This window comes from Homo sapiens, chromosome 5 (genome assembly GCF_000001405.40).
Source record: "Homo sapiens chromosome 5, GRCh38.p14 Primary Assembly".
NCBI classification, from domain to species: domain Eukaryota; kingdom Metazoa; phylum Chordata; class Mammalia; order Primates; family Hominidae; genus Homo; species Homo sapiens.
This window is the reverse complement of record NC_000005.10, coordinates 1,688,541-1,697,726: the sequence shown is the minus strand read 5'-3', so window position 1 is coordinate 1,697,726 and position 9,186 is coordinate 1,688,541.

Here is a 9,186-nt window from a genome sequence, read left to right as displayed (position 1 = left end):
GACTTCTGACATGTTTCAAACATTAGCGGAGGTTTTGTTTGGAAAGAGACTGAGCCAGGGCCTTCTTTCCCCCAGCTGGTGCATGATCACCTTTCAGCTTCCAAAAGAGCTTGAGCATTACTTCCCAACTACAAAAGAACCCCGAACTGGGAAGGAATGGATCCGTGACCCATTTGTGAATAAGCCAGGTGAATCGACTTTGTCCTTGCTAGAAGAGGGTCGGCTGCTTGAGATCACAAATAATGGTGGCCTTACAAGTGTGTTTGAGACAACTTCAAATCTCCATATGTTCTGGACTAAAGTCAAGGTGGAATATCCTGAGATTGCCACAAACGCACTGAAAAACCTGCTTCCATGCCCAACATCCTGTCTTTGTGAAGCAGAGTTTTCTGCAGTGACAGCAACCAAAACGAGATTACAGAGTACACCGGACATAAGCAACACACTTTGGGGGTGACTGTCTCCATCACTCCCAGATGGGACCATCGAGTTGCAGGAAAACAAGCTCAGGGCTCCCACTGATTATACGTGATAGTGAGCTGTATAATTATTTCAGTATATAATACAATGTAATAATTACTAGGTTGGTTCAAAAGTAATTGCGGTTTTTGCCATTAAAAGTAATCTCTGGTGCCAAAAAATGTTGGGGACTGCTGCTTTAAATCATGCAGGTGGAATAAAGATGTGGTTATTTAAAAAGTTGAGAAAATTTATCTGCAACATACTTGCCTTACAAGGCATACTAAAGCCACATTTTTCAGCTCAAGGAAAATGTTCATGGGGGAAAGGATGAAAGGAATGAAGAGCACCACAAAGGATAACTGTTAGGGGCAGTGTGAGTGTATGGATTGTTTAAAGTGATCTTCTGGTGTTTGCAACGAACACAGAAGTAAAATATATGACTACAATGGCATTAAAGGAAATGCGAGCGGGGGCACGACAGACCACTCATAAGATCCTTCAACTGCTTGGGAAGTGATAAAAGTATTCGTTTCAGGTAGGTGTTTTGTTTTGTTTTGTTTTTTGTTTTTTTTCCCCCCACAGGGTCTCGCTCTGTCACCCAGGCTGCAGTGCAGTGGCACAATCATGGCTCACTGCAGCCAAAACCTCCCAGGCTCAGGTGATTCTCCTTCTCAGTCGTCTGAGTAGCTGGGACTACAGGTGCCCACCACTATGCTTGGCTTATTTTTCTTAACATCTTTTGTAGAGAACAGGGTCTTACTTTGTTGCCCAGGCTGCTCTCAAATTCCTGGGCTCAGGCAATCCTCCTGCCTTTGCCTCCCAAAGTGCTGGAATTACAGGCGTCAGCCACTGTGCCTGGCCTAAGGTAGGTTTTTATACTTCAACTATGCAAATAATAAACTATAGGGAAATAAAAAATATATAACTATAGTGCCAATAAAGTGGGGATAAATAAAGTAAAGAAGACACATGGAATAAACAGAAAATAAATTATAAGATTTTAGAATGACCATTCAACTATGAATATAAGTAAATTTAAAGGACTAACTTCATTATGACCAAGCTTGCCATATTGGTTTTTAAAAAGTAAAGAAAAAAAAATCCCACCACATTTGTAAGATGATGTTCTGAGTGAGTTTCCAATTTTCAGTCTTTACTGGGGTCAGGTCAAAGTCATCACCATGCCAGACAGATAAAACTTTCATAGAAAATAGTGTTACTGGCACAAAGAATCAGGGACAGAGATTGTGGAGACCTCAGCAGATGGAATTTGGCAGGATGAATTCTGAAAAACAGAGAACTACAGAGATTGATACCTGAGTTCTGTGTGTTAGACCTTTCCAAATCTCCAGCTGAGCTCTGAAACTGTGATTACAGTAAATGTAAAGAAACTGAAAATGAAAGAAATAAGCAGAGATTTCAGCTGTTTGCCATTATTATAAGGAAAGTGTTTGGAGTTTACATTCAGGCAAATTAACTGCCTCTAAAAACAGATAAAATAGCAACAGTATTCCAAAGAACAAAAAGAATCAAGCTTTTACAATGTTTAACAATAATATCCTGCTATAATCCCTAAAATTTGTAGATATTATATTTTTCTAAAAAAGGAAAACCAGAAAAATGTGACCCACAATAAAGAGTAAAGGCAGGGCCAGGCGCAGTGGCTCACGCCTGTAATCCCAGCACTTTGGGAGGCCGAGGCGGGCGGATCACGAGGTCAGGAGATTGAGACCATCCTGGCTAACACAGTGAAACCCCGTCTCTACTAAAAATACAAAAAATTAGCCGGGCGTGGTGGCGGGCGCCTGTAGTCCCAGCTACTCGGGAGGCTGAGGCAGGAGAATGGTGTGAACCCAGGAGGCGGAGCTTGCAGTGAGCCGAGATTGCGCCACTGCAGTCCAGCCTGGGCCACAGAGTGAGACTCCATCTCAAAGAAAAAAAAAGAGTAAAGGCAAATGACAGAGGCCAACTCCAAGATAACTCAGGTGTTGGAGTTACTACACAAGAATGTTAAGGCAGAAATGATAACAATAACACTCAAGGGCATAAAGAATGAATGAATATTTGAAATGAATGAACAAATAGTAAATGTCATCAGAAAAATTAAGAGAACCAAATATAAATTACTTAAAATGTATAAAATATAAAAGAACTATATGAAATTCTATAACTGAAAAATATAATATCTGAAATGGAAAATGCAACATGTACACTTAGCAGCAGAATAGGGATGATACAGGAGCCAGTAAACTTGGAAGATACATTAACAGAAATCATCTAATCTTAGGGAGAAGAAGAAAAAAACTGAAAGACATCAATGCAGTCTCAGAGACCTGAGAGATACCATCAAAGGGTCTAATAGTGAAATGTGAGTCACAGGTGTACAGGAACAAATGGGGGAGAAAAACATTTTTGAAAAGTAGAGGACACATTTTCTCACTTTAGTAGAAGACATGAGATTAAAGAATCAAGAGGCCGGGCGCGGTGGCTCACGCCTATAATCCCAGCACTCTGGGAGGCCGAGGCGGGCGGATCACAAGGTCAGGAGATCGAGACCATCCTGGCTAACACGGTGAAACCCCATGTCTATTTAAAATACAAAAAATTAGCTGGGCGTGGTGGCGGGCCCCCGTAGTCCCAGCTACTCAGGAGACTGAGGCCCAAGAATGGCATGAACCCAGGAGGCGGAGCTTGCAGTGAGCTGAGATTGCGCCACTGCACTCCAGCCTGGGCGACAGAGTGAGACTCCATCTCAAAAAAATAAATAAATAAATAAAAAAGAATCAAGAAACCCAAGTGAACCCAAAGCAGGATTGACAGAAAGAAAAGTATCCCAAGCACATTAGGGTCTAAATGAGGAAAGTCAAAGGTAAGAGGAAACATTAAAAGCAGCTGAAGAAAAAGCACACATCATACACAGGAGAACAACATGCAAACAACTGCTGGACTTCTCAGCAGAAATAACGGAAGCCAGAAGACAGGAAAATGACATCTCCAAAGGGCTAAAAGAAAACACCGAGAATTTTATACTCCAGCAAAATATCCTTCAAGAATAAGGACAAGCAAACATGCTCTCAAAGAAGGAAAATCTAAAAAAACATGTGCCTAGCAAATCTACACTCCAGAAATGCTAAAAGCTCTTCAGGCTGAAGCCAAATGACATCAGATGGAAGTCAGATCCTCCAGAAGGTCTGAGGAACACCAGTTTCAATAAATACATGGGTAAATGTAAAAAATTATTTTCCTTTGAATTTTTTAAAATTAACGTAATCGTTTAAAACAAAAATTATAAGGGGTTTTCAAGGCTAGTTTGGTAGGCAGGGGACCAGGGAATGGGGAATATTGTTTGGGGATGAAATCATAGGGGTGCACTGAGTCTGCCCCTGGGGGGACCACAGGATTGGTTGAGTCATGAGTCAGGTGTCCGGGTGGGGTCAGTCTGAAAGATATCTCAACACATCAATCCTAGGTTCTACAATAGTGAAGTTGTCTATATGAGTAATTGGGGAAGTCACAAATCTGTGACTTCTGGCCACATGAGTCCTAAGCAGCAAGGGATTATAGAAGATACACCTATCTTGTGACCTTTCATTAGTTTTACAAACGTGGTTTAGTTTTGGGAAGGGCTATTATCATCCTTGCTTTAAACTAGAAACTAAGTTTCTCCCAAAGTCAGCCTGGTGTACACCCAGGAATGACCGAGGACAGCTTGGCAGTCAGAAGCAAGACAGAGTCAACTATGTCAGATTTCTCTCACTGTCATCATTTTGCAAAGGCAGTTTCAGTAGCCTCATTTATGATAGCCAAATGAATACTACTCAGCAGCAAATGAAATAAATTACCAATAAACACAACTACATGATAACCCTCAAAACATTATCTCAAGTGAGAGAAACCAAACTCTAAGTACATGCTATAGGATAACATGATGCCATGTAAGTGACATTTTACAACAGGCTACACCAGCCTATGAAGAATGCAAATCAGAATGCTGGTTACCTGGCAAGGTATTCATGGACGAGAGCGTGACAGAATCTTCCATGGTGGCAGTAGCGTCCTACCTTGACAAAGGTTTGCCTCATGCAGGGATGTGTATTTGTTAAAACTTTTCAAGTGGTAAGCTTAAGATTTGAGCATTTCACTCAAAACAAAAATATAATTTTCAACTCTAGTGATACACGTGCTAAAATTCATAGGAGCAGCAGGCCGGGAAATTCTGGGTAGAAGAGGGTAAGCCCCTGGCAAGAGCCCCACCTTCTAGCCCAAAAGCCCGGAACCACAGCCCAAAGTGAGACCACACATCCATGCTTTCCTGCTCGAATTTTGCCTTTTCCAAAACCACCCACCCCGTCCCCCATCCTGTGCCTATAAAAATGCCATAACTCAGCCAGCAGAGAAGAGAAGCAGCTGGATGTCAGAGACTATCATTGGACATTGGAGACAAGTGGCTTGACTTCAGAGGGACAGCTTAATGGCATAGCTTCAGAGAGGAGTCCAGCCTCCAGGGGAAGATCACCTTCCTGCTCCATGCCCTTCTCAGCTCCCCTTCCTGCTGAGAGCCACGTTCACCAGCAATAAAATCCCCTACATTTACCACCTTCAATTCTTTCATGCAACCTCATTCCTCCTGGACACCAGACAAGAACTCGGGTGCCATGAGCATGGGTGCAAAAGGCTGTCACACTGGCCCTCCACTGAGCTGTTAACACTTAAGCCATCCATGAGCAGCAAAGCTAAAAAGGCACTGTAACACTTCCTCTGGGGCTTCAGGGGTTGTGGGCACCCTACCCTAGATGTTGCTGCAGGGCTGGTACAGAATTCACTATTGCCAGTCCCCAAAAAGTGCTCACTCCAGTCTCTGCACCCACACACCTGCACTCCCCCTCCCACGATGGGTGGAGCAGTGAGTGAGTGGAGTTCACCCCTACCAGCACCTGTGCACTCCGGTTCCTGCCAGTGGAGGGGGCAGGGAAATATCCTGCTTCAAAATGTTTAAGGATCAACTGTACTGATGTCAAAAGACATTGACATACATCAAAAATAAATAAAATACGTTGATGGAAAGATAGTTGGACATACACATGATCAATCAAAGATATAAAAGCAATCTTGCCATGGGCATTCACTCTACAATTCTTTTCATTTTTTGTATGTTTGAAAATGTTCACAATAAAATTTTAGGAATATAAGCCAAAATTATTTATACACATTAGAAAAATAAAGGTAAGGCTGGGCGCGGTGGCTCATGCCTGTAATCCCAGCACTTTGGGAGGCCGAGGCGGGTGGATCACCTGAGGTCAGGAATTCGAGACCAGCCTGGCCAACGTGGTGAAACCCCGTCTCTATTAAAAATACTAAAATTGGCTGGACATGGTGGCAGGCACCTATAATCCCAGCTACTCGACAGGCTGAGGCAGGAGTATCACTTGAACCTGGGAGGCAGCGATTGCAGTGAGCTGAGATCGTGCCACTGCACTCCAGCCTAGGATAGAGCAAGATTTCTTCAAAAAAAGAAAAAATAAATAGATAATTTTTTAAAAAGACAAAAAAAGAAAAAGAAAGGTAGAAAGCCACATGATTATGTCAACAGATGCAGAAAGAAAATTCTGCACCAGTTCATGTTTAAAATTCCCGACAAACTAGGAACAGGCACTACAACAGCTAACATCCAATTTAAGAATTTAAGGATGAAATAACGAACACTTTCCCTAAGGTCAGGAACAAAATTAGAATGTCTGCTGGCCAGGCACAGAAGCTCACACCTGTAATCTCAGCACTTTGGGAGGCTGAGGCAAGCTGATCACTTGAGGTCAGGAGTTCGAGACGAGCCTGGCCAACATGGTGAAACCCTGTCTATAATAAAAATACAAAAATTAGCTGGGTGCGGTGCCAGGTGTCTGTAACCTCAGCTACTTGGGAGGCTGAGGCAGGAGAATCGCTTGAACCCAGGAGGCAGAGGTTGCAGTGAGCCAGGATCACACCACTGCACTCCAGCCTGGGTGACAGAGCATGACTCTGTCTCAAAAAACAAACAAACAAAAAACTTCTATGAATCTTGCCCAGTACAATAAGAAAAAATACAAATTTAAATCATGAAATCCATATGTAATACAAGTTGGAAAGTAAGAAGCAAAACTGCCATTATTCACATGTAACTTGATTATGTGCATTCTAAAAGTCTATAAAATATTAGAATTAATGAATTTACAAGGCCAATAAACTAAACTCAATTAATGTTTCTATTTGCTATCAACAAAGTAACTGGAAGATGAAATTAAAAACAATACCAATAGCATAAAAATACATTGCATATGTGGAAAACCTACAAATTTAAAATAACAAACATTGGCCAGGTGCAGTGGCTCATGCCTGTAATCCCAGAACTTTGGGAGCCCAAGGCTGGTGAGTTGCTTGAGCTCAGGAGTTTGAGACCAGTCTGGGCAACATGGTGAAACCCTGTCTCTACAAAACATAGAAAAATTAGCTGGGTGTGGTTGTGCATACTTGTAGTTCCAGCTACTTGGGAGGCTGAAGTGGAAGGATCGCTTAAGCCCAGGAGGCTGAGTTTGCTGTGAGCCAAGATTGTGCCCCTGCATGTTAGCCTGGTGACAGAGCCAGACCCCGTCTCAAAAATAAAAATAAAAATAAAATAAATAAAACAACAAACATTGCTGACAGATATGTCAGCAGACCTAATCAATGGAACAATATAACATATTTATGGATTGGAAAACTAAAAAAAGTTAAGAGGTTAATTTTCCCAAAATTTCTCTATAAGTTTAATGACATTTCAATCGAAATTTCAACAAGGTCTTTTGTAGAAATTGTGTCTGATTCTATAATTTAGTTGGCAATGCAAAGCCCCTAGAAAACCAGGATTTTTTTTTTTTTTTTTTGAGACCAAGTTTCGCTCTCATTGCCCAGGCTGGAGTGCAATGGCACAATCTAGGCTCACTCCAACATGTGCCACCACGCCTGGCTAATTTCATATTTTTAGTAGAGACGGGGTTTCTCCATGTTGGTCAGGCTGGTCTTGAACTCCCAACCTCAGGTGATCTGCCTGCCTTGACCTCCCAAAGTGCTGGGCTACTGGCATGAACCATCATGCTCAGCCAGGATGATCTTAAAGAAAAAGAACAAAGTTGGAGGTCATAAACTACTTGATTTGGAGACTTACTCTAAAGTTGTACTAATTAATTAAGGGGTTATTGGCATGAAGACAGATAAATAGTCCAATGGAATATGATAGACTGTTTAGAAATAGAGTTGGTCATAGTATTCCGTTATTATCTTGTTAATATCTGTAGAATCTGTAATGATGTCCCCTCCCCACTCCTGATATTGGTAGAAATAGAGTCATTCATAGCATTACCTTATTATCTGGCTAATATCTGTAGAGTCTGTAGCGATGTCCCCTCTCCACTCCTGATATTGGTAGAAATAGAGTTGCTCATAGTACTCCCTTATTAACTTGTGAATATCTGTAGAATCTGTAGTGATGTCCCCTCTCCACTCCTGATATTGGTAGAAATAGAGTTGCTCATAGTACTCCCTTATTAACTTGTGAATATCTGTAGAATCTGTAGTGGTGTCCCCTCCCCTCTCTTGATATTGATAGAAATAGAGTTGCTCATAGTACTCCCTTATTAACTTGTGAATATCTGTAGAATCTGTAGTGGTACCCCCTGCCCCACTCCTGATGTTGGTAGAAATAGAGTGATTCATAGCACTCCCTTATTAGCTGGTTAATATCTGTAGAGTCTGCAGTGATGTCCCCTGCCCCACCCTGATACTGGTAGAAATAGAATTGCTCATAGTACTCCCTTATTATCTTGTGAGTATCTGTAGAATCTGTAGTAGTGTTCCCTGCCCCACTCCTGATATGGATAATTTGTCTTCTCCCTTTTTCTTTCCCCATCAGTCTCGGCCCTTGCTGTTTTCAATACATTCTCTCTATGGCCTATGGATTGAAGACTGAGTGGACTGATAAAAGTTAGTGAAGTCTTTTCTGGGTACCTGAAGATTTTAAGGGAGCAACTGAGGGTTCCATCTTGACTAGGGAATGCTCTCATTAGTGGGTTTAGGGTGTCCTAATTTTCAGGAATCTCTGTGATGTTAATGAGGTAGTTGGAGACATTTGCCAAGGGTTTGTTATAAAGATGTGGCTGGAGATTCATGCTTGAGTGAGTCATCTGTGAGGCTAGGGGCAGATAATGGAGTGGGAGATGAGAAGGTTCAGGACCAAGGCATGCAGCCTGCATTGATGAGAGTGGAGCATGCCCGACCACTCTCCAGACCCAATGTCTCATTCGTAACACTCAGGTTTAAGAGCTGTGAGCAGGGCATGGCTTCTGAACCTCTCCACGACACCATGACTCCAACCTCTTTGCCTTCAGGGTCTCTTGACTTGGACCCAGAGGTGGATCTAAGTTTTTCGGGGCCTGACGCTGATACACTATGGGGTCCTCTTTAGGAGAAGCCACTGAAAATTGTGAGATCAGGCATGGCGGCTCATGCCTGTAATCCCAGCACTTTGGGAGGCTGAGGCAGGCAGATCATGAGGTCAAGAGATTGAGACCATCCTGGTCAACATGGTAAAACCCCATCTCTACTAAAAATACAAAAATTATCTGGGCGTGGTGGCGGGCGCCTGTAGTCCCAGCTACTCAGGAGGCTGAGACAGGAGAATTGCTTGAACCTGGGAGGCAGAGGTTGCAGTGAGCC